The 25,549-nt window shown below is 37.1% G+C and overlaps 1 long non-coding RNA gene and 1 pseudogene across 5 annotated transcripts in view; one reads left to right on the plus strand and one right to left on the minus strand.

Moving 5' to 3' along the window:
* The window catches only part of LOC107984704 (uncharacterized), a 336,950-nt gene that overhangs the window by 18,651 nt on the left and 292,750 nt on the right, over positions 1 to 25,549 (plus strand). The window contains exon 3 of one of the 5 annotated variants that reach the window (XR_001750838.1): positions 21,911 to 21,971. The exons of the other annotated variants lie outside the window; for them this stretch is intronic. This is a non-coding gene — a long non-coding RNA (uncharacterized LOC107984704). Of the gene's footprint in view, positions 1 to 21,910; positions 21,972 to 25,549 lie in introns of those variants that run through there. 5 annotated transcript variants of the gene reach the window in all.
* RPL9P6 (ribosomal protein L9 pseudogene 6) lies at positions 21,073 to 21,786 on the minus strand (annotated as a pseudogene).

Consider the following 25,549-nt stretch of genomic DNA (forward strand, 5'->3'; position numbering starts at 1 on the left):
ATAACTTGAAGTTGTTTAATGTATGTGTAACTGAAATCCTCAAAAGAAGAAAGAAAGAATTGAGACAGACAATTTTTAAATAAATAATTGTGGAGGAATTGAATGTGGACACAAACAACGGTCATCAAGTCCTGGAACAGGTAGCCACTTGAAGCATTTATCTGGCACTGTTTCGGAGAAATCTTTATTTCAATCTATTCCTGTGTGTTAGTTATTGAAAAACAACAGACAGTCGCAAAACAAGCTGATCTTTTTGTGTTCTTTGAGCCCAGTCATGAAGGGCCCTAGTGACTGGGCCTCACACCAAGCAAATAGTTACAAAAGAGCTAGGGTCCCAGACTACACCAAAGCTTCATGAGACCTCTCCTCATCTGTGCATGGACGGGCAGCTGACTCTGGAGCCCAAGCTGTTGCTTCCTGGTCTGGTGATGCTTCCTCCATAGTCTGGTGCATATATATATATATATTATATATATATATACATATATATATATATATACACATATATATATATATATATGTATATAATATGTATATATATGTATTTTTTCTTCTCCCTTTCCCACTGTGATTTGCTTATTATATCTGTATTGACATATACTTGGGATAAAGGCTGTTTACCCTCATACATTTCCAGCACAGAACAATAATGTCTGTTAATTTTTAGAATTTGAGGAAAACTTTAAACCCACAGATGCAGGAAGTTCAAAGTATAAGAAACCCTAAATACATCATAATTAATTATTTAATGATTTTCCAGAAAAGAAAAATCAGACGCTGGAGTCCTAGAACATTATTGAACCTACAAGTGGTTTGGAGACTCCTGACACAATAAATCTCAAAAATACTATGCTGAGTGACAAAAGCTAGACCACCCCTCCCCACTAAAAGAGTACATACTATATGTTTCCATAAGTATAACATTCTAAAGAATAAAAACTATAATGACAGAAATAAAATAATTTGTTTCTTGAGATGCAATGTAGGGGAGCGATGGTGAGAACAGAAGGAAAGAAGTAGAGAAAAAGACACAAGGTAACTTTTTGGGGGTGATGAGTGTGTTCATTTTTCTAATTGTGGAGATGGTTTAATGAGCCTATGCATATGTTGAAACTCATAAAATTGTGCAACTTAAATATGTGTAGTTTATTATAGGTCAGTTATACCTGAATAAAGCATTTCCTTTAAGCAAAAGTATATGGTACTTCCTATGTGTTGGTTAACATGTTAAGCACTTTATGTGGAGTGTGTCATTTTGTCTTTATAAAACCTTGTGAGATAAACACTATTATTATTCTCAGGAAGCTTAATGATATTGTTTGGCTTTGTGTCCCCACTCAAATCTCATCTTGAATTGTAATCCCTAGGTATTGAGGGAGGAACCTGGTGGGAGGTGATTGAATCATGGGGGCAGTTTCCTCCATGCTCTTCTCATGATAGTGAGTGAGTTCTCACAAGATCTGATGGTTTTGTAAGTGTTTGGCAAGTTCCTTCTTCACTTGTTTTTTTTTCCTGCTGACTTGTGAAGATATGCCTGCTTTCCCTTTGCCTTCCGCTATGATTGTAAGCTTCCTGAGGCCTCCCCAGCCATGCGGAACTGCGAGTCAATTAAACCTCTTCCCTTTATAAATCACCCAGTCTTGGGTATTTTTTTATGGCAATGTGTAAACAGACTGATAAACTGAGTCTTGGCTAAGCAAAGTTACTAACCAAAGCACACAAAGTCAGAGAAAATGTCTAGACCTCAACTCAAGTCTTGCAGAATTCCAAAACATCTTCCCCATCCACTATTTTACATTCTAGGGTTAAATAACTGAGAAATTATTTTTGGTAATTATTTAAAAATTTCTCTTCTATGAAAGATCTTCCATTAGCATTTCAGTTTGGGGATTATAGGACATTATTAGTTTCCATTCATATTCTCTAACTCTTCGGCTTTTTCAACGTTAACTGCCCTGCCATGATGGCCTTGGGCCTTTGGGCCGACAGAGGCCAGTGGGTTCTGTTTCACAATTGCTTACACTGACTCCTGCCTGTACTTTATTCAAGGTTTCCTACTCTCCTCTCCTGCTCCTTCTCTCCTTGATTCTATGCTTCAGGCCCCAATTTTTGGTTTAGATTTTCTATTGAATTATTGCCTCATTAGGTCTCATTTTCCCAGAAAACTGTCTTTGGCCCTCTCCACCTTATATTTTGACTATTGATTCCATGGGATTCTTGGCGGTGACAGCACACAATGCTCTGGGCAGGAGACCCTGTTTCCACCAACCTAGGCCATGCACAAATCCCATGGCTCAAATATCTCCAGAGAACAAAAGTCAGATACTGGAGTCAGTGAACCAGATAAACTTTCAGAGATTAAACAAATTTGTTTTAAAAAAGAGTGTCTGCTATTGTGTATTGCTGTTCGGAGCTGTGCTGTACATCATCTGCTATTGTTACATTTGTTATATCAATCAATCAGAGGCAGTTATGAAACTGCCATCTCCATCCTTTTCATTTAGCAAGGCTCTCTAATTCTGCAACTATTAATAACCTTTTTATTCCTCTTAGTGTATCATCCTTCTTTTCTCTGCTGCTTTTTTGCAACTTTTTTGCTGGTACTGACTTGGCTTATGAGACAGTTGCATGCAGAGGATGTTAAGAAATTAAAAAAGGCCGGGCACGGTGGCTCTCGCCTGTAATCCCAGCACTTTGGGAGTCTGAGGTGGGCGGATCACAATGTCAAGAGATTGAGACCATCCTGGCCAACATGGTGAAACTCCGTCTCCACTAAAATTACAAAAATTAGCTGGGCATGGTGGCGCGTGTTTGTAGTCCCAGCTACTCGGGAGGCTGAGGCAGGAGAATCGCTTGAACCCAGGAGGCGGAGGTTGCAGTGAGCTGAGATCGCACCACTGCACTCCAGCCTGGTGACAGAGGGAGACTCCGTCTCAAAAAAAAAAAAAAAAAAAAAATTCAACAGTATTGGTTGCACCAGCTTGAAGTAATAGAGAATTATTTTCATAGTGGTGCCTAGTATGTACGTGACACCATCAATTATGTAAAGTATTTTTAGATGGAGAAAAAAAGATAATTTTCTTAAGGTCTGGATCTGAATATGATCATTGGATTGTATAACAAATAATTTCACTGGTAGAGGAGAGTTGGGTGATTTCACCAAAAATTTCATGTCATGTCATAAACTTGCAGTCTGGCCAAGAAGCAGAGAGTTCACATTTATCTTTCTCATATCTAGTATACTAAGGAATAATAATGAAAATAAATGTTTGCTTCAGTAGCATGTGGGATTTTGAATTGGCACCTAAAATTCTGCTTCAAAAAGCTTCATTTCTGTGGAGTCAGAGATTTTAGAGATGAAAGCCAAATGCTAAGTGTGTGCTTACACCTGGGCTGTAAGTCTCTCTGCCCAGTGTTTTGCTTTCACTTATCAAATGCTATGTAGGAAGAGAGGGATGCAACTTCATGGCAGCTGATAGGAAAGAGGAAAAATTGAATATCTAGAATTACAACTGTCCATCTTGATTCTTTTGTTTATAAGCCATTAGACATTGGATGAAGTCCTTAACCTTTATAATTTTGTTTCTTTATAAAATAGTGGTATAATACGAGCGGGCTTCAAAAAGATCATGGGAATGTGTATTATGAATGGATTTCAAAAATTTTTTTCATTCAAATAAACTCATGCTAACATCTTATAACACGTCTGAGCAGAATCTAGTTTGAAACACTCAGAAGGATAAGGCATCAGTTTGAAAAGAGCCCCTCTAAGTGTAATGTGAATTCTGCTAAATATTTTTATTTATTTATTTTTTAAGACAAGTTCTTGCTGTGTCATGCAGGCTGGAGTGCAATGGTGTGACTATGGCTCACTGCAGCCTCAAACTCCCAGGCTTAAGTAATCCTCCCACCTCAGTCTCCTGAGTAGCTGGGACTACAGATGCATGCTACCATGCCTGGCTATTTTTTTTATTTTTTGTAGAGAAGAGGTCTCACTATTTTGCCCAGGCTGATCTCAAACTCCTGAGCTCCAGTGACCCTCCTGCCTCGGCCTCCCAAAATGCTGGAATTACAGGCATGAGCTACCACAGCTGGCCAAATTCTGCTAAAATTGAAACAAGAATGAATGTCAAATTTATGGTCAAGCTTGGGTGGAAGAGTGGCAAAATCACTGATGCTATATGAAAAGTTTATGCAGACAATGCCCTAAAGGAATCAGAAGTTTACAAATGAATGATTTGTTCTAAGATGTTCACAGCAGCATACCATCCATATCAATTTTTGAGGAAAAAATTTATCTTTTTCATGTCCAAATTGACGAGGACCAATGATTAACAACATTAACAATAGCCAACACCATAGACATCTCTACTGGTTCGGGTTACACAATTCTGCCAGAAAAATTAAAGTTGGGCAAACTTTCCACTCAATGGGTGCCAAAACTGTTGTGTCCAGATCAACTGCAGACAAGAGCAGAGCTTTCAATTGACATTTTTAAAAAGTAGGGTTAAGATTCTGATGCCTTTCTTCAAAGAATTGTTATAGGAGTTGAAACATGGCTTTACCAGGATAATTCTGAAAACAAAGCACAATCAAAGCAATACCAAGAGGTGGAAGTGGTCCAATCAAAGCAAAAGCAGACGATCTATGAGGAAAGGTTATGGCAACAGTTTTTTTTAGGATGCTCAAGGCATTTTGCTTGCTCACTTTCTGTAGGACCAGAGAATGATAACATCTGCTTATTATGAGGGTGTTTTGAGAAAGTTAGCCAAATCTTTAGCAGAAGAATGCCCAGAAAAACTTCACCAGAGACTCCTTCATTATGACAATACTCCTGTTCATTCTTCTCATCAAGCAAGGGCAATTTTGCAAGAGTTTTGATGGAAAAATCATTAGGCATTCACCTTGCCATCCTGATTTGGCTGCTTCTGACTTCTTTTTGTTTCCTAATCTTACAAAATCTGTGAAAAACTTCCATGTTAATAATGTAAAGAAGACCTCATTGGTTAAATTCCCAGTACCCTCAGTTCTTTAGAGATGGACTAAGTGGCTGGTATGATCATTTATGAAAGTGTCTTGAACTTGATGGAGCCGATGTTAAGAAAGTTTATGTTTACATCTTTCAATTCAATTTTTCATGGAGTTTTTGAAGTTCCCTTGTATTATCTGAAAGATTAAATAAATGAATATATTGCTGAACAGATAATGGGCACTTGATGATCGGTAACTAAAATGACAATCATATTGACCTATCCTGGTGCTTTAAAAAAACAACAACAATCGATTGAATTCCAAAAACACATCCACCATGGAACATGTTTTCTTCCCTACTCACAAAGAAAATGGTTAAAAAGTAGATCTTAGGTTTTTATTCTCTTCTGCCTGATTTACATTTTAGTGATTGCCGCATCACTGATTTTATACTAAATTTAGAGGTGTGACTAAATAATTCTGTTTTGCAGCATAAATTAAAAAATAATATACTTAGAATTGTACTTCTCCTTATTTTTCTCTTACTTCTCCTTATCAACATAAAATACCATTTACTGAACACCTACGCACAGTGCATGGCATACCATTCCTTGCTCTTTCTTAATTTTATTGGCTTTTTCTAAAATGTCTTCTATTAGAGAAAGGAAATAAAATCATTGAAATGTATGACATTTCTTTAAATAAATAGGGATTTATATAACTCTTGAAAAGAGATAATATAAATATGTATTTTAGTAACATTTTTTCACAAACATTGGTGACAGTAGTTTCCTAAAGAGTAACCATATATTCAAAATAATGAGCAAAACTGTTAGATGTTGGAAGAAAGAGGCAACTATTGTTTGTTTTCTAGTTTTTTTGGGTACTCATCAAAATATGATTTTTTTCTCCTTAGTGTATCATCTTGCTTTTCTCCTAAAGGAGAATTTTACCAACTTCCTTAAGAAGTAAAAACAACAATATAAAAATATTATGGCGTGCCTCAAAGTTTGACTGTTTGAAGAGGTAACTAAAGTAGTTTCTGATAAAATAATGGGGGATCAGAAAATGGAGTTTCCTTCTTGTTTGATCAAAAAGATGTTTGGGAGATAATATTTAGCTGAAAATATGGAGAACACTAAATGGAAGTTTTATCCTTTAACACAAAATGTGGAAACAACCCATAACATATTGCTTAATTGTTCTGATTATGTACTCAAAACCAAAATTTCACTTAACCTGGCACTGGGTAATCTATGGTCATGTAAAACTTGCTCAAGTAGACTAACCATGGCAGACTTTCCATATGAGTTTCTTTGGCCTATATTCTCTAAAATCGTGCACCGAAAGGAGAATTGACTATGTCTGCAGGAGATTTTGGCTCTAAAATTGGCTGCCAGTATGTAACTGTGGGAAAATTACCTAGGAAGCAGATCCATTCTCCTGATGATCTGTTAACCAAATAACCAGTTCTGATAGTTTTTAACAACAATGTTAGTCAGCTTAACAGGAATATGAATTAAACTAAGTCTAATATTGTAACTGAGAAAAATGGTCAAGAATTTAAAAAATCATAAGAAGTTCAATTAAAAATGCTATTTTCCAGCCAACATTTTGACTTTTATACATGTTAGAATTGTTTCAGTTACTTCTTTTGGATGTGAATTTGGATGCTTTTGAATGTCATTTTATATTTTTTCAAATTTCAAGCACTTTTAATATTCTGCTGCCAATATCTCAAATGGCATATCAAGTTTCAGTTTGTATCTGTAACAATTTAAAATTTAAATTTAATTCAAAAGCATGTGAAATAATCACAATTTCAAATTAAATTAAATTTTAATTTTAAATTGAGCTTCTATTTTAAGTGGAATTAAATCTTTATTTTAATTTAAGTTCAATTTTTAGTTATTTTGATTAAGGAAAGATTGAATTACATTAACTGTTTAAATTAAATTAAGAATTTAAAATTAAATCTAAAAGCATCTTAAATAAACATAAATTGGAGAAAAATCTCATCAGATGGGAAACACAGAAATTCTATTTGCCAATAAGAGACAATTGGGATAGTTATAAGTTAATTGACATACTGGACATAAAAGGGTTAAAAATTTCAAAGTGTGTAAAGAAAGTGGAGCTGTTCAGAATATTTTATTATAGTAGATTACATGATTAGTACCTCTAATATTCCTTGACTATAAATTAATAAATGCAAAGAATTTTAAAAAATGACTGAAAAATTCCTGAAACTGCTAAAATCTGACAAAACAGAAATAATGTTAAAATGGATCTAGAGATCAACAGAAACTGAGAAATTCCCATTATAAATGTTGACATTTCTGTTTTGCTAGATCGTTTATCGTGAGACACCAAAATTCAACCTTCCTTTTAAGTTCTTAAAATATTCCTGTTTGATTTTTAGTTTTCTCATCACTTAAAGGTATAAAAAGCATTTTCATCAAACCAGGAAACTTAGTAAATAAAACAAATTAGATGTTTAGAAAGTTTGGTTTTGCGGAGTTAATTTTCAGGAAAACATGCTGCCGGTTGCTAACATCTCTAACCATTGGTTTTTGTATCTGTAAAATGAGAATGATGATAACGTTGCCATCTTCCTTCATATCTGACATTGTGAAAATACTGTACCTAATTAATTATCTCATTTAATCCTGACCACCAGCCAGTGAGAAAGGTATAAATGAGGAAATAGATACTCAGAAAAGTGATTTACGAAAAAAGAGACACAGGTAGCAAATGATGGAGCTGAGCTTCAAACCCAAATGGTATCACTCCAGAGATCAGGTCTTTAGGTGTTGGGCTAAGGTCAGGCCATGTTTTTTTTGTTTTGTTTTGTTTTTTTGAGACTTTTTTTTTCTCTGTCGCCCAGGCTGGAGTGCAGTGGTGCAATCTTGGCTCACTGCAAGCTCCGCCTCGTGGGTTCACGCAGTTCTTCTGCCTCAGCCTCCTGAGTAGCTGGGACTACAGGCACGCGCCACCACGCCTGGCTAATTTTTTTTCACCTTGTTAGCCATATGGTCTCAATCTCCTGACCTTGTGATCCACCCGCCTCAGCCTTGTGAGCCACCGCGCCCAGCCTCTTGGTCAGTCCATGTTTTCTGTATTGAATTCCTAATGATACCAATAAGCTAACTTTTTTTAGTTGGATGTGTATATGCACATATATATATATCCATGTGCCTATATGTATATGTGCATGAATGTAAATGTACATATATATACACATATAAAACAGTACTATTAAATTTTCTGGTCATTTTTTTTCTCTTGAGACTAAAAATCTCAAATGTAAGCCCTCTCAAGAGGCTAATATGGCACATGAACACAGACATTTCCTCTGGTGTGTATGTGGACCATGTGAAGATGAGGGAGAGGGAATGGTGGGATGGACGATAGAAGGAAATCATTAATTACAAGGGAAAATGAAACGCCTACCAGTGGACTACTACCCAAAAGCAGGTATGCCTTGAACAAAGTAAGATTGGCATGGATTATTCTGAAATCAAGAGAACTTCTGGGCCATTAGTCCTCATTGCTTCTCATTAGCTTCTGTGGAGTTACATAAACTAGATTTGTCAAAGATGTGTGATGAGCTAGGGCCACAGACATCTCTGTTCTCTCTGTTTGCGGGGAGTTTTCCTTTGCCATCTGCAGTTTACTGCTATGTATATGGTGAACTTACCATGTTCTGAAAATTAACAGAGAATACCTGGCTATTTTTTTCTAGGCTGAAAATCTGATGTAAAATGTTAGCTTGCCCAGTGAAAAAACTCTTTCATCCATCTATCCCTTAAAAATATAATGTATTAGTACTGTGTTTCAGATACTGATAGGCTTCAGGGCTACAAAGATGAAAATGATATAGTCTCTGCCTTTTGGGGTTAATAGTTAATAGGAAAATCAGACAAACAGAAAATTGTAGTATAATCTGATAAGTACAATGTAAAAGATACAAGGTAATAATAATATCTAACGTTTATTGAGCGCTTACTTTGGGTTAGACTGTCCTAGCATTTTGCGGTACTAAGTGGTAGTTACTCTTATTATACTGAATTAAGATGAGAAAACCAAGACACACAGATTTTAAATTACTTGTCAATACAGATAGCAAAGAGATGGACTTACATTTGAATTCAGATAATCTATTACCAAAATCAGGGTACAAGAGACACTTTGCAATATTGCCTCTTGTATCGGAGTATAAATAAAGGCCCTGATAGAAAGCACATTATCATTATGTTCAAGTTAAAATGAAGGTTGGAGATTTGAAATAAATTTCTGCCTTTGGGAAAAGAAATACAAAATTAAAGAAGCATGCCTCAATTCAGACAGTAATGTATAGTGCTTATGAGTCAGACTGGTCAACTGAATCTGGTTCAGCCACTTACTAGTAGCTGTGCGACCAAGAGAAGTTATTTAACCCCTCTAAGCCTTAGTTTGCTCATCTGTAAAATGAGACAATATATAGTATATAGTATATGGTTTGTGAGGATGATTATATGAGATCATATTTGCAAATACTTAGAAAGAGGATTGGAGATTAGAGGGAGTGACCAATAAATATTAATTTTTACTAAATGCAACCAATGAATTTACAAATTATTTCTTTATATCACAGAAACTAGTACCATATCCATTCTGCCTGATTTCTGAGGGCAAGTAAAGTATGTCAGTGGTGAAGTAACTTATAAGGTGGCTAGTGGAGCAAAATGTAGAAGAAAAATACTGCAACCTAAGAAGGAAAATGGTTCTAAGATAAATTCTAAGCTAAATATTAATAAGCTAAACTTCACACTTAATGAAACTTTATACATTTGTATTGGCATACATTACTTAAAAGACAGGGGTTCAGCCAATTATTTCCAAAGTGGCAGAATAAGTTCAGAGAACCCCAAGAATGATAAACAAAAAAGATCTGAATCATACGTATCACAGTCAAACTGGTGAAGGCCAAAAACCAAAAGAGAAACTTGAAAGCAGCAAGAGAACAATGACTCAACATGTAGAAGTGAACAATAACATGAAAAATGCCTTATAGTTCATCAGAAACAACAGAGGCCAGAAGGCAATGGAATAACATATTCAAAGTGCTAAAAGAAAAAGACCTGTCAATCATGGTTTGTATAATTAACAAAACCATCCATCCAAAGTGAAGGCAAAATTAAGACATTCTTCCGTAAACAAAAACTGAGCCAGTTCCTTGCTAGGCACTTTACATATACCATCTGATTTAATCTTGACCACAAACTTGTAAATTTTCTTTTCTTATTTCTCTTTTACAGTTGGGGGAACTGTGAAACCAAAGAGAAGTTGAGTAAATTGCTTGAGGCCATAGAGCTAGTGAATGGAATTTGAAGCCAGATCAGTCCACTGATTCTGCCTTCCCATGAAGTTTCATTGTGTTAGATTCTCTGCCTACAAACGACTTTTCTTTAAATGAGTCTACCTAATGCTGATAGATGGATCCTCCTAAATATTACTTTTTGATGTTACTTTACTAAGAACCCTTGAATGGCTTTTTCTTATTTGTAGCGTGAAGGCCAAATTCTTCACTCTGATGGCTTTTAAATTTCAGCACTAAAGTGTCATTTAAACATGATTTCTTAATATTTCTCAATATTTCTCAAGTTGACTGGGTTATCTCATATCTGCCAACCTGTTCTCCATCAGTTGAAATCCTCCCTGTCATGGGTTGTGACTGACTGGGGCTGGCATTGTGGGTGGCAAAAGAATTTACCAAGACAGTAGTGAGTTAAAGAAAGCAGGTTTATTAGAGAGAAAATATGTTGCAAGGAAGCAATGGGCAGCACAGCAGAGAAGGGGTTGTTTGAGAAGAGTCAAGGGCTTGAGGGAAGTTTTATAGGGTCACGCTCTAGGGGCTATATGTGGTTAGGGTCATGCTGCTTTGCTAAAAATACATTGGGGTGATTTTTAACTGGCAGGCCTTTCCACCCCAGGCATCCTGTGACAGGGTGTTTGTGCAAGGGTGTTTAGTCAGCCTTCTTGCGAGAACTGGTTTTCCTCTCCCCCTTTTCTTCTTTCTTCTATCTCGACAGCTAGTCTCCATCCTTGTTGCTTATCAGGACTCCACACTCTCCATTAAAAAAAAAGTATCTATTTTTTTGTGTGTGAGTTGGGGCTCATATCTTTTGATTCTTCTCTGATATTTCCACTCTTCCTTTTTACATATTGCCATTCACCTATTGGAGCCTGTATGCTGTCTTATATTGTGAGTTATTATAGCATCTATCTATCTGTCTGTCTGTCTGTCTGTCTGTCTATCTCTATCTATCTATGTCTATCTATCTATCTGTCTCTATCTATCTATCTATCTATCATCTATCTATGTATTTTTCTCTCTATAGAGTGAGAAATAAAAATGAAATTCTGTTCTATCCAACCAATTGAACTGACCCCCTCTTGGCCAAGGGGACCCTAGGGAAACCTTGAAAACAGAGTTCCTAGCCGTAAAGTGATAAGAGGGCAGATTCACCTCATTATACACCCTTCTTTGCTAACTGCCATTAGACTTTTTTCCTTGAGGGTTAAACAGAAACCAGCTCTTTTGAAAGATTCACTCTACTGCTGATTTCAACCAACCCCTGAGGCTGCTTCTCCCTTTTTGTGGTTTTAATACAATGGCTGAATGGCATTCCTTGCTGATAAGAGACCAGGGACCATGGAGTGGTTCTGGCCAGTCTATAGAGGGTATACAATGAGGATTTTTGTGTCCTCTGCTTTATCTTTTGACCTCAGAGGGCTGAAAACTCCATCCTCAGATCATGCTGATGCCATCACTTTTTGTACATGTGACCCATGAAGGGATGTAAATCTCAATTGCACATGTGCATCTTTCTCCATTCATAAATATTAATGACTCCTCCTATAGCTTATTAAATGTGTATACTTGGCCACTCCACTCAGCATAAATTTCTGTTCCCTTTAAGTCTCCCTCAAAGTTCCTGTTTTTGGCTTGTGACTGGATGCTACACTTTCTGGCCTGTCAGAATGGCCACCTGCAGGCTGCAACCATTTAAGAGAAATAAAGCTCTTCCTTCCAAATTTATGAACCTTATTATTCTTCAGTTGATAATAGATATAGACAATAGATATAGATACATATATACGTACACAAAAATGTGTGTGTGTGTATATATGAGTGTGTATATATATGAAGAAAAGTGGCATATTTAAATATTAAATAATAGGATAATGGGACATATATATATAGAGAGAGAGAGTTTGCTTCTAGTTCATTTATGCTCTCACGTATATTTAACTGCATTACATGTATATGAAATGGCATAACTGGATTGGAAACAAGTCATGTTTTATTTTCCTTTACGTCTTCAGCAAGACTTAGCAGGGTACTTTCTATATTATAAGAGCCTATTAAATATTTATTGAATAATGCCTTATGGTTCCTAGTTAAAAAGTGAAATACTAAAATCAAATAGTAAGAAAAAATCACCATATCCTGGTATTTAAATTGGTCCCACTTGGTTGGAAAATCATGTCAGTCTGGAATCTTGTTAAAATGAAATCTGAGAGAAACAGAAACTTCCTCTCTTTTCTTACTCCAGTCTCATGAGGCCAACACAGTACTTCAAAACCAAACACTTAGGAATTTCTTCTCAACCATCATTGCTGCAGCCCCAGGGAAAATCAAGACAGCTGTGAGTGGTCATGGAAGCTCACAGATCATAAATTTGGTAAGCTAAGATGGTAACCAACTGATGGGGCAGATATGTAAGGTTCCTTCAAATTTGGAGTATAAAATATTGTGTAATGCTCATGCTTATCATGAAGAGTGAGCTGATCCAATTAAATGATCCAATGATAGACTCTATCTTAGACAAGTTGGAAGAGTATAGGACAGAGTAAGTTTACTATTCATGAAAAAGTAATTGATTTCATAGTGGAAGCCAAGGAATTAAAAAATTGCTGTTTGGGAGAGTTTTGTCTGTGGGTCTGCCTGCTTCTCAAAATGTGTTCTATCTTTAAAGACACAACTGGGTCATTTCTTAGTACAAATGTCGCTTTCTTTTTTTCTCTTTGATCCCTTTCTCACTTCTTTTTCTCTGAAAAAAAATTCAAATCATTTTGGGAATATTGTTTGTCTCAATATATACCAGTTTCATTTAATATGTTAAATATTAAACATGCCACTTTTATTTATCTAAGTCATTCTTATAACTCTATATTCATTTAATTTACCAATAGTAAAACACAGTGAGTATTGGTAATAAATATTGGTCTTCTGCTCAGTCCCTGATTGGATTTCTTCTCAGGGAGAGAGAGGAGACTCGTTAGAAAGGGGAGGGTGAGATCAGGTGAAGAAATGGCAGGGAATGTAGGCTCTTTTTTGGTTCCAGATGAATTTTAGGATTGTCTTTTCTAGTTCTGTGAAGAATGATGGTGGTATTTTGATTGGAATTGCATTGAATTTATAGATTGCTTTTGGCAGTATGGTCATTTTTATACTATAAGTCCATAGTCACCACAACAGCGTGGTACTGCAATAAAAATAGGCACATAGACAAATGGAACAGAATAGAGAACCCAGAAATAAAGTAAAATATTGACAGCCAACTGATCTTTGACAAAGCAAACGAAAACATAAAGTGGGGAAAGGACACCCTATTCAACAAATGGTGCTAGGATAATTGCCTAGCCACATGTAGAAGAATGACACTGGATCCTCATCTGTCACCTTATATGAAAATCACCTCAAGATGGATCAAGAACTTAAATCTAAGACCTGAAACCATAAACATTCTAGAAGATAACATTGGAAAAACCCTTCTAGACATTGTCTCAGGCAAAGACTTCATGACCAAGAACCCAAAAGCAAATGCAACAAAACAATGATAAATAGATGGGACTTAATTAAACTAAAGTTTCCACACAGCAAAAGAAACAATCAGCAGAGTGAACAAACAACCCACAGAGTGGGAGAAAATCTTCACAGTCTGTACATCCGACAAAGGACTGATATCCAGAAGCTACAGGGAACTCAAATTATCAAGAAAAAACCAAACAAACCCATCAAAAAATGGGCTGAGGACATGAATTGACAATTCTCAAAAGGAGATATACGAATGGCCAACAAACATGTAATAAAATGCTCAACATAACTAATGATCAGGGAAATGCAAATCAAAACTACAATGCAGTACCACCTTACTCCTGCAAGAATGGCCATAATCAAAAAATTAAAAAAAAATAGATGTTGGTGGGGATGCAGTAAAAAGGGAACATTTTTACACTGCTGGTGGGAATGTTAACTAGTACAACCACAATGGAAAACCGTGTGGAGGTTCCTTAAAGAACTATAAGTAGAAATACCATTTGATCCAGCAGTCCCACTACTGGGTATCCACCCAGAGGAAAAGAAGTCATTATACGAAAAAGATACTTGTACATGCATGTTTATAGCAGCACAATTTGCAATTGCAAAAATATGGAACCAGCCCAAATGGCCATCAATCAATGAGTGGACAAAGAAATTGTGGTGTATATATATGTATGTATGTATGTACATATATATATATACACACACACGCCATGGAATACTATTCAGCCATAAAAAGGAACAAAATAATGAAATTTACAGCAACCTGGATGGAACTGGATACTATTATTGTAAGTGAAGTAACTCAGGAATGGAAAACCAAACATCATATGTTCTCACTCGTAAGTGGGAGCTAACCTATGAGAATGCAAAGGCGTAAGAATGATACAGTGGACTTTGGGGACTTGGGTGAAAGGGTGGGAGGGTATGAGGGATAAAAAACTACACTTTGGGTACAGTGTGTACTGCTTAGGTGATGGGTGCATCAAAATCTCAAAAATCACCACTAAAGAGCTTACTCATGTAACCAAACACCATTTGTTCCGCAAAAACCTATGGAAAAAAAAAGAAACAGTAGAGAAAGTTTTTCTTGGGAAGTGTGGAGCCAGAGAATGGGTCCTCATATTTCCAAAGTTCTTTATTCCTACCCAGATAAGGAGGGGAAAAGGTGCAAAGATATGTCTATAATTGTATTTCCCATCCTGGAAATCTCAGGCAGCCAGAAGACCTGGAATCAATATTTAAGCCAGAGAAGATGACAATGAAGTGGGACCAAGTCACAGCCATGGGACTAGATGAATTTAGATTGCACACCCAACAGCCTTGAGCTAGCAAACTGCATAGCCTTTTCGTTAATCTTGCAATAATGCAATCAGGCATTTTATGGAAATCATAAAATGGAATCACATCCATCACTGGAAGAGTTTTACTATACTTACTAAACTCCTTCTATATTCCAGGCTCTTTACTACGTGCTACAAATGCCCATTGGTGTACAAGATAGACATAGGCCACTCCTACCATGCTTGAAGTTTAGTGGAAAAAGGAAGTGCTACTCTCCTCTTGAATTTTTTTCTGTATATCTCAAATTAAGGAGAACAAACATGTCTACTTATAATCAAAGTTTATACTATTGTCTGCATTACTGTAATCACATAGGCGTAAAAGCTTAATATTTTGTTGGGGTAATCTAACAGTAACAACTACAACAAAATGCATGTAGAACTTTGGGATTTACAAGGTACTTTCACTTGTACTACCTCTTTTAACCTCACTGAGTTTCTTCTCTCACATTTGGAAGATAAGGAATAGCAATGTCTTTCTTGTACTGATGACATAGCTAGACAGCCAGGCAAAGGTTGTGCCTTCAATTGTGAGGATATGCATTTTATAGATGCTGAACCTGAGCCTCAGAGAAGAAACGTGAATTGTTTGTAGTGGAATATAAAGCTGAAAGAAAAACTGGGACTTAAAGTATAGTCTTTGGACTCTGAAGTCTATGATTTTTTCATTATATGTCAGCTGTTGCTCAACTGACCCATCAATCAAATGGGAGCCAGGAGTATCCCCTCAGAATTTCTCCAGACTTAATGTTCCAGGAAAGCTGATCACACTTTACTCCTTTTGGCAGCCCATATAATAATAGTGCAACCAAACAGGAAAAGAATAAAGAGGAGAGACAGAGAACATTAAGGTAGTAATAAAATTCATCCACAAGCTGACCACCCAGAAATAATCAATTTTGTGCATATCCTTTTTGTCATTATTTTAGAATCCATTATATTTCCTGGCTGATATTATTTCCTTAAGTTCTAATCATGGGGAACTATTTTTGTCTTTGTTCCATAGAACATTAGAACAGAAAGTGACCTCTGAGACTATTTAGTCAAACTTCCTTAATATTCAGATGAGGAAGTCACAACTAGAAAAATGTATCTATAGACCAAAGCAAAGTCCTAAGAAGAAAAACAATTAGGAATTTAATGAATTATTTTCTGTAAGTAATTGCTTACAAAATGAATGCTCTATGGCTTGACCATAAGATAATAACTAAGATTTTGCCTGAATGTAAATTTAGATGAGATTTTGATGTGTTACATCATTGTTTTGGGCCCAAAAGAGATTTTTCAGGGCTTAATATATGGTAGGCTTACAGCTGCATGAATGAATGAATAAAGCACATATGATTTACCTGTATACTTTGAAAATAATAAATACAGTTTACTAATCTAAGACCATTATGTTCATATTCAGTCATATTAGCATCGTCATCATCAAGGAAACTTTATTGAATGCATCCCATGTGTGATTGTTATAGGAATGGAAAAGAGAGGATGTGGTGTTGAAATATTGGGCAGTTGAAGTTAGAAAAGATTTGTGTAATGACTGTGGTTTGAGTACTTGTGTGTATGTGTGTGTGTGTGGTTTATTGAGTAAGAAGATGGGGGTGGGACTAATTCAGGGGAAGAAAGAGTTTAAAATATTACCATTTGTGGACATGATGGTGACATAAACTGATAAAGAAAATAGAAGTATAATGATTAATATTATGCAGTTCTGTTCCTGTTGTTTGTTGATAACAATTTGTCCACATGTAGGAGTCCATTTACAGGTGACGGTGAGATAGTAAAAAAATGTTAATTATTTTACTATGTAACAGCTCACGTACTGGACTGATCACCATTACTTGAATACCATGTACATAGAATCCTAGTATAATAATTGCAATCACTTACTGAAAACTCATTATCTTCTGTCCTTGATTAGAAGCACTTTGCATATATTAAATTATTTAATGCTCACCACAGCCCTATGTATTGAGTGCTTTGATTATCAACTCCATTTCACAGATGAGAAAAATGGAGCACAGAGAGATTAAAGAAATTTCTGAAGGTCCTTGTGTATTATGTGAAGGATACAGCTTTTGAACTTAGGCAGCCTGATTCCAGAATCTGTGCTCTTTAACACATTGTTGTACTACCTACTAGAAGTTTGCAACAGAAGGAAATTTGGGTTCATTACATCTGAGAAACCCAAGGCTCAGAGGTTAGTTACTTGCCCGGGGTCACATAGTTATTTTGTGACAGATGTTAAACTATGACAGTTTGTGCTCTTGTGTGCAAGGCTGAATTAACTGGAGACAGGGTATGCTGACATAAGCCTGCAGGTACCATGCGCTTTTATCATCACTGTCATTCATAAACTAGTCTTGAAAAGATGGGAAATGGGGTGGTCTACAGAAGTTTTCAAGCTTTCTTTTCTTATGAAGCATATACATAATTCTGTGTATGGAAACATCATTTTGGCTTGCTCTGGATAAAATGTCAGTTTCCTTGGAGAAATACGTAGCATCAGTTTATTGGCTACTCAGGCCTCTTGTATAGGGAAAGACAACTTCCTCCAAAACGAATTGGTGGCTCCATGTCAGGGGAATTAACAAAAGATGCAGGAGATTGAACCAATTATCTCTTTCCTTCTTCTCCTCCCAGGTAGTGCCCTCCACCTCCTGTCACTCGAGAGGGAAATCTGTCCACAATCTTCCTGGGAAAGAGATTCTACCACTTTCTTTTTCATTGCTGACAAAATAGTAAGGAAGATGAGAAGGTCATATCTGGTACCATTTCATTCTTCCAACTAGAAAAGCTCCTCTGGTAAATGTCTTGAGGCTAACTGGGACATGCGCATCAAAGAGAATTTGGCTATCCTGAAATGTCATATTTCATGGGGAGTTCAACAGGGCCATTTATCACAACTGACCCCATCAGAGAAGGACCAACCATCCTTAGTAGACCCAGGGTTGCAAAATGCCACCACATTTGGCCATAAAATTTATCATGTCAGGAGATCTATAGTCAACACTAGGCACTGTGAAATATGGCAGTACTGCTGGGATATTTATCTTGGTTGGACCTGACAGATTAGCCCTGCATTTCCACTTAGTCCACATTCCTACCCCAGTGCAATCTATTATGACCCATCATGGCAATCTGCTTGGAAACATGACTTGCAGCATCAATAAGCTAGATGCGTACAGGAAGAGCCCACATAAATGCACATATTTGTGGAGTGCTCCTCTTAAAATGCTGAAAAATTATTCAGTGACTTTCTTCTTTTCTGGTAATTATTTTAAGAAAAGTAACACATTAAAAGGGGATTTGGACTCTTTACAAATTAATGCTGTTGGAGACATGTTTACCTTTCGGTTTCTTTTTTTCATTTCACAGAAAAGATGCAAAAGTGACAGACATGGTGAAATTCCTCTTTCATTCCTGAGTCTCTCCTTGGGCAGGATTGTGAAGGAGGCAAAACTGATTATCAATGCTTCTGTCTTACAGCTCTCTACTTCTGCTGGTGTGGTGCCTTGCCGTCCTTGTGTTCTTGGCATCTCTGCACTATCTACCTTTTCCTAAGCTCTGCTCAAGGGACAGTCACTTACCCTACTACATTGTAAGGGATGGATATAGCTTCATAATCCCCTGTGTGTTTTTATTTTAATAAATACAGTAGATATAAAATCATTTAAATAGAAGAATTTTGGAATTCCAGTCCTTATCTTCTTCCTGGTAGTAACAGTGATCAGATAGGAGGTCTATCAGTTTACCCCAGAGCACGGCAGCTTGCATGCTAGGAATATTTCAGGGGAAACTCCAGACGTGGGTGTTATGAATTTTGGGTTTGAGCCCTATCTTTATGATTTGTTCTGATTGATCTTGGGCAAGTCCTGAAACCTCTGAGAGTCTTAGATTTGTGAAACATTTGGATAAGTAAAAACAACTCTTTCTTAGGATTGATGTGAAGATTAAATAGAATTTTATACATCTCTGTGTAAATAGACACAGATATATATGTTTTCATAAATTGAAGAGCATAATATAAATTTTTTTTTTGTAGAGGCAGCAGAGAAAGCTGGATTTGCAGTCAGAATTTTTGTGTAAAACTCATTTTTCAATGACTAGTTGGACTGTAGGACTCACATCCTTTAAATAACTTTCCCAGTGACTATAGCACTAAGAAAAGAATACCATCTTCTCCAGCGGAAGATCCTGGTCAAAGATGATCATTCCTTGAGCATGTGGCTTGTATCTCCATCCATGACATTTATTTTATTCTGCCTTTTCTTAGAGTTGTGTACCTCTGTTTCTTCTTTGAGTGAAATCTTTATAGAGATTTAATTTCATTTATTTCTGTATTTCCCATAAGGTGAACTATATGTGATTGAATAGTAGGTACTTAACAAACATTTGCTAACTGAATAATAGCATGTTGGCTGTTGTGCATTTGAGGAATGTTATACATGTAAAAAAGCCAAAACAGAGACGATGCAATTTTCTTTGTTTTGATTCATATTTTCTGCCAGGCAGTAACATCTGGATTGAGACCCATTTTTATGAAAATTTATAGCTAAATAAAACAGGGTTGGAACTGCAGGCTTGTAGGAAAGTGGTTACTCTTTGAACATAGTTCAAAATTCTTGAACATAGTTGCATTTAGCCCTGGCTCTGAAAGGATTTTAACTTCTCTGTTCCTTTCCTTTCAGCCCATTTAACGTTAACACTGGCAAACAGAGAAGAAAGTTATGACGGGAAAGGAATTTATTAAGTGTGCACATTAGCTCCTTTATTTCACAGAAGTAGAAACTGAGGCTCACAGCCTTTAAGCGATTGCCCAAACTTGTACTATCATTTTACAGTGATCCAGGAGTAGAACCTGAGTTCTAGTTTGGTCTGGCATCTGTTCTCTAGGTCAACATTGCCTTCTTGCCTTCTTGGATGACTTCCCTTTCTTTGTATCCTTTCTTTTTTCTTTTTCTTTTTCTTTTTTTTGAGACGGAGTCTTGCTCTGTCACCAGGCTGGAATGCAGTGGCGTGATCTCCGCTCACTGCAACCTCCGCCTCCCGGGTTCAAGTGATTCTCCTGCCTCAGCCTCCCGAGTAGCTGGGACTACAGGCACGTGCCACCATGCCCAGCTAATTTTTTTTGTATTTTTGGTGGAGCTGGGGGTTTCACCATGTTGGCCAGGATGGTCTCGATCTCTTGACCTCGTGATCTGCCCGCCTCGGCCTCCCAAAATGCTGGGATTACGGGCGTGAGCTACCGCTCCCGGGGTAAACTGTGACACAATCTCTGTGAAGTAATTGAAATAAAGGTACATTTTCCCACACAAAACTTGGAGTGAGTCCTTGCTTCTCAAACTAGTGTTTATATGCACCCTGCAGAACTCCCTGAGGCCACTGTTTAAACATCTTACATTTTCCTGGGAGTATGTTTTTTTTCCAAAAGATTTTTTTGGGGCTGAAAACTACTATTTTCATACTATAACAAACATAAATTTAAAAGAATTACTAGGATAAAGCTAGAGAAATTTTGTATTTGTAGGATCCTATACCCCTAGACATGCATAGATTCCCACCCCGTTTTGCTATAAGCAATATTTTGGTGGAAGAGTCTCAGAAGTACTGGGCTAGGTCATACCTTTGTTACATGGTTTGACCTTGCTAGGCAGAAACCTAAGCCACAGGTAAAAATAGTCTATCTTTGCTATTTTTAACTCTTTTACAATCTGACCTTTGCCGCAGCCATTCTTCAGAAATGGCTCTGTAGGTGGCTGCTAAGGAGAGAACCTTACTACTAAATCCAGTCCTTCCTTCCCTCCCTCCCTTCCTTCCTTCCTTCCTCCCTTTCTCCCTTTCTCCTTTCCTCCATCCCTTCCTTCCATTTTTTTTTCTAACAATAGAGGGCTTTTATTGCATATAAAAAATATCACAAATAGGTCTTAGAAATCATCCAGCATCTTCTCGTTTCCATAGCTGGATAACTCTTAGACCTTATTCATCAGACAGCGGAACTGTTCCTTTCTTAGAGACATAGATACCATCCAACAATTTTTTGGTATCCTTGTTTTTAACTGCTGTAACTTGCTAAATCAAAGAAGCTGAATTTGGTACAAGTTTACTGTTATTAGCTTCAAAAATGAACTCCTCTTTCTGGGCTTGACATACTGATGGAACAAGCCACACTTGGCCTCATCTGAACCTTGCAGATGTATTTTTCACTTAAGAAATTTCTAATGTCAACAAGAGACCCATTCTCCTGAATGACAATGCTGAGTAGGAAGTAAGCATACACAGACTTCATCCTGTAGCATACACAGACTTCATCTTGTAATGGAAGCCTAGTGTAATGTTCTGGATCCTGTTCTGTACATGACTATGGATAGTGTGAACCAGAGCAAATTCCTGTCTTATTTCTCCACTGTGCCAACTTGAAGCCTCTGTTTTCTTTCCAAGTAGACCGAGTTCTACATTAATATGAGTGAAGTCTCTCTGCAGAGTTCCTCTGGGGCCCTTCGTAACTGTGAGTCCATTCAGAGTGATATTGACATTTTCTGGAATGTTTAATCTGATTCCTGAGAATGGTCTTCATTCTCATGTAGAAGCAGCAAAGACAGAATGTCTTAATTCTTTTTTGACCTCTCTACTGTATTTGACACTGCTGACTCGCTCTTCTTTGAAGACGTGCTTGCGTCTTTTGGCTTCACAAGGGTTCATTCTCTTTCTTTGTGTCCAGATGCTGGAAGAAGACTTTTCATGCTATTCTTAGAGACAGGGTCTCACTCTGTCACCCAGGCTGGAGAGCAGGGACGCAATCAGAACTCACTGCAGCCTCCAACTCCTGGGCTCAAGCAATCCTCCCACCTCCACCTCCTGAGTAACTGGAACTACAGGTACACACTACTACATTTGGTTATTATTATTTTTTCTTTTTTTGTAGAGATTGGGTCTTGCTATGTTTCCTGGGCTGGTCTTGGACTTCTGGCCTCAAGTGATTCTGCTGCCTCAACCTCCCAAAGTGCCGGGATTATAGGCATGAGCCACTGTACCTGGCCATGCCTTGTTTTTTAAGGTGCTTTTTCTTTCCTGTTTCTTTGAGCTCCATATTCACATACACAACTGAGTTCTGCACAGTTTCTCTTAGAACTTGCAAAGACATTTTAAACTCAGTAATTGAACAAACACATTCTTTTCCCCCCTTTCACCACCATACCCCCTTGTTTTCTGGACTATATTATTCTGGCCCTAAATTACTATTTCTCTATTGGTTCCTATTTTGTGGTGTAAGTAACCAGTGCCCAGCCAGGTATCTGAGCATTTATCTGCACTTTTCCTTGCCTCTCACTCTCCTCATTCATGCCATCATCATGAACTACCTCCTAAATATTTTTCAAAGCCATTTGCCATAACCACAACAACTACCCCCCATGTTCAGACTATTATCTTTTACCTTGTTCCCTTCAGCAACCTTTTCATTTATTTCAGTCTCAGGTCTTGCTCTCTTCATAAATGTAGGATTGGGAAGAAGAAAATTTTCTAGGAACTGTTGGAAATGTAATAAAACTGTCAAAAGTGTTAAATCTCAGTCTACTGTTTTGTGACAGTTTGTTAAGAAAGTAACTTAAAAAAAATCCAGGTAGGAAACACAAAGAAAAAAATACAGACATTTTGATATATTAACTGATAATGGCACTTTAATTATACCACCCTGTGAAGACAAAGATAATTATCAAATCCAAGTCATCTATGTATCCATAAAATCTTAAGCACACCCTGTCTATTCTCAATTACACTATGCTCTTCAAATCCAGAGGGAATCTTTCTAATGTGCAAACCATATCTGATCCCCTGCCCTACACCCTTCAGTGGCTCCCCATTGCCCTCAGAAAAAAATTCTAAATGTCTTAATTTGGCTTACAAAGGGCTACATGATTTGGTTCCCACTTGTTCTTTATCCTCATAACCCCTTCCTGCTCTAGCTCAGACAAATGCCTCTCAGTTTCTCAAATCCACCATGCTCCTTGCTTCCCTCCACATTCCTCCTTCAGAATTTGATTGGTTAAAGCAGTGTTTTGCTGGTAAATATTTAACAACTGCCTTTGGGAGAGGGGAAGAAGAGGACCCCAGATTTGCAGCATTTGATGGTTTTCATGGCATAAACATTCTCACCATGACTTTTATCAAGCTACCCATGTGATGTCATTGCACACAAAATTGGGAAGAAATTTGCACAATGGGTCCTAGAGAGCGGGTGTGTGCTGGCTTCAGTACACCACTGGGTTAAATCCTATAAATCCTTTAGATTTTGGCTCATCTGTCTACTTCCCTGATGAGGCTTTCTTGATCATGATCATGCCATATGCTTCCATTGCTCCCTGGAATCAGGAAGTCTGTTTGCACGCTCATCACATGAGATTGTGATTTCTTGTGCATGTCTTGGACTTTACTGCAAGATGGTAAGCTCCTTAGAGGCAGGGATTGTGTCTTGTTGACCACTGTCTCTCCAGAACCTTCCAGAGTGCCTAACACATAGTAGTTCTTCAATAAGTATTTGTTGACTAAATGAATGAACAAGTAAAAACCAATAACAATAACTGAGAACAAGTGCTTACTTTGTGCCAGCTATGGTACTAATTAAGTGGTATGCATTACCTTATTTAATTGTCCTCAAAACCATATGGTAGAGTTATTTGGTTATCGTCATGTTACAGGTAAGAACGACTGAGGATTAAGGCAGCTACATAACCTGCCCAAAGTCAGTCAGAAAATAGTGGAGCCATATACAAATTCACGCAGCATCATTCAACCCTGAACACTTATCCTCTAGGTTATACTGACTTCTTTCACTTCAGGTTGAATAAAGCTAGCCCTTTTTGACTAGTTGGCTTCTGTAAGGAAGATTCAACATCTAAGTCACTTTTAATCAGGGTTCCTAACAGGGACAGACTCACTCAAATGCTGTCACTGACATATTAAATTAGTGCAAAAGTAATGGTAAGTAATTGGCAATAGGGCCCCTTAAAGTATTCATTTACTTTTAATCGGTAATTCCAGTTCTCAGAAAATAATCAGAACTATGGACAACTCTTTGGGGCCAAAATATTATTCTTAATCGTTTAAAACATAACTATTTTACTTTAGCATAGTTTTAGATTTACAGAAATATTACAAAGATAGTATAGAAAATTTCCATATGTACTACATCCATTTTCCCCTAATATAAATATTGATAAGGTCCATTTGTCCCAGTGAATGAACCAACATTGATGGTAACTAAAATGCATACCGTATTCAGATTTCCTTAGTTATTACCTAATGACATTTTATTGCTCCAGGATCCTATCTAGATTATCATTACATATAGTCATCATGTCTTTTTAGGTTCTTCTAAGATGTGAATTTTTCAGACTTCCCTTGTTTTTGCTGACCTTGACAGTTTTGGGGAGTACTGCTCACATGGTTTTTTTTGTTTTTTTTTTTTGAGATGGAGTCTCACTCTGTTGCCCAGGCTGGAGTGCAGTGGTGCGATCTTGGCTCACTGCAAGTTCTGCCTCCCAGGTTCACGCCGTTCTCCTGCCTCAGCCTCCCAAATAGCTGGGACTACAGGCGCCCGCCACCAAGCCCAGCTAATTTTTTGTATTTTTAGTAGACACAGAGTTTCACCATGTTAGCCAGGATGGTCTCAAACTCCTGACCTCGTGATCTGCCTGCATCAGCCTCCCAAAGTGCTGGGATTATAGGCGTGATCCACCGCATCCGGCCTACTGCTCACATGTTTTATAGGATGTCCCTTTATTGAAATTTTTCTGAGTTTTAAAAATGTGATTAGATTGAACTTGTGGGTTTTGGAAGGAAGACCACAGAGATAAAGTGCCATTATCATCACATCTTTTCAAGGGTACTTACTATTAACATGGCATCACTGTTGAGTTTGACCTTGATCACCTGGTTGAGGTAGTGTTTATCATGTTTCTCTACTGTCAAGTTACTCTTTTCTTTCCCCTTCTCCCAGTGTACTCTTTGGAAGAAAGTCACTGAAAGTAGTTCCCATTTAAGAATTAGAAAATTAATTGTCAAATGTAAGGGCAGAATAGTTACATAAATTACTTGGAATATTTCTTTATGGAAGATATATCTATTTTTCTCCTATTAAATTTATTTAACATTTATTTATAATAGTATAGATGCATAGATAGTTATTTTATGTTTTGAGCTAAAAATCCAATACTACTTTATTTTGTTAGTTAAATTGTTTCAGCTTTGACTTCTGAAAGCTCTTTTAGTTGATGTCTGTGTCATTTTGACATATCTTATCATTGTATTTTTTAAAGCTCTTTCTTTGTGGTATGACTGTATGCTCCAGGGTCATCTTGTG

Source organism: Homo sapiens, chromosome 14, assembly GCF_000001405.40.
Source record: "Homo sapiens chromosome 14, GRCh38.p14 Primary Assembly".
Classification (NCBI taxonomy): domain Eukaryota; kingdom Metazoa; phylum Chordata; class Mammalia; order Primates; family Hominidae; genus Homo; species Homo sapiens.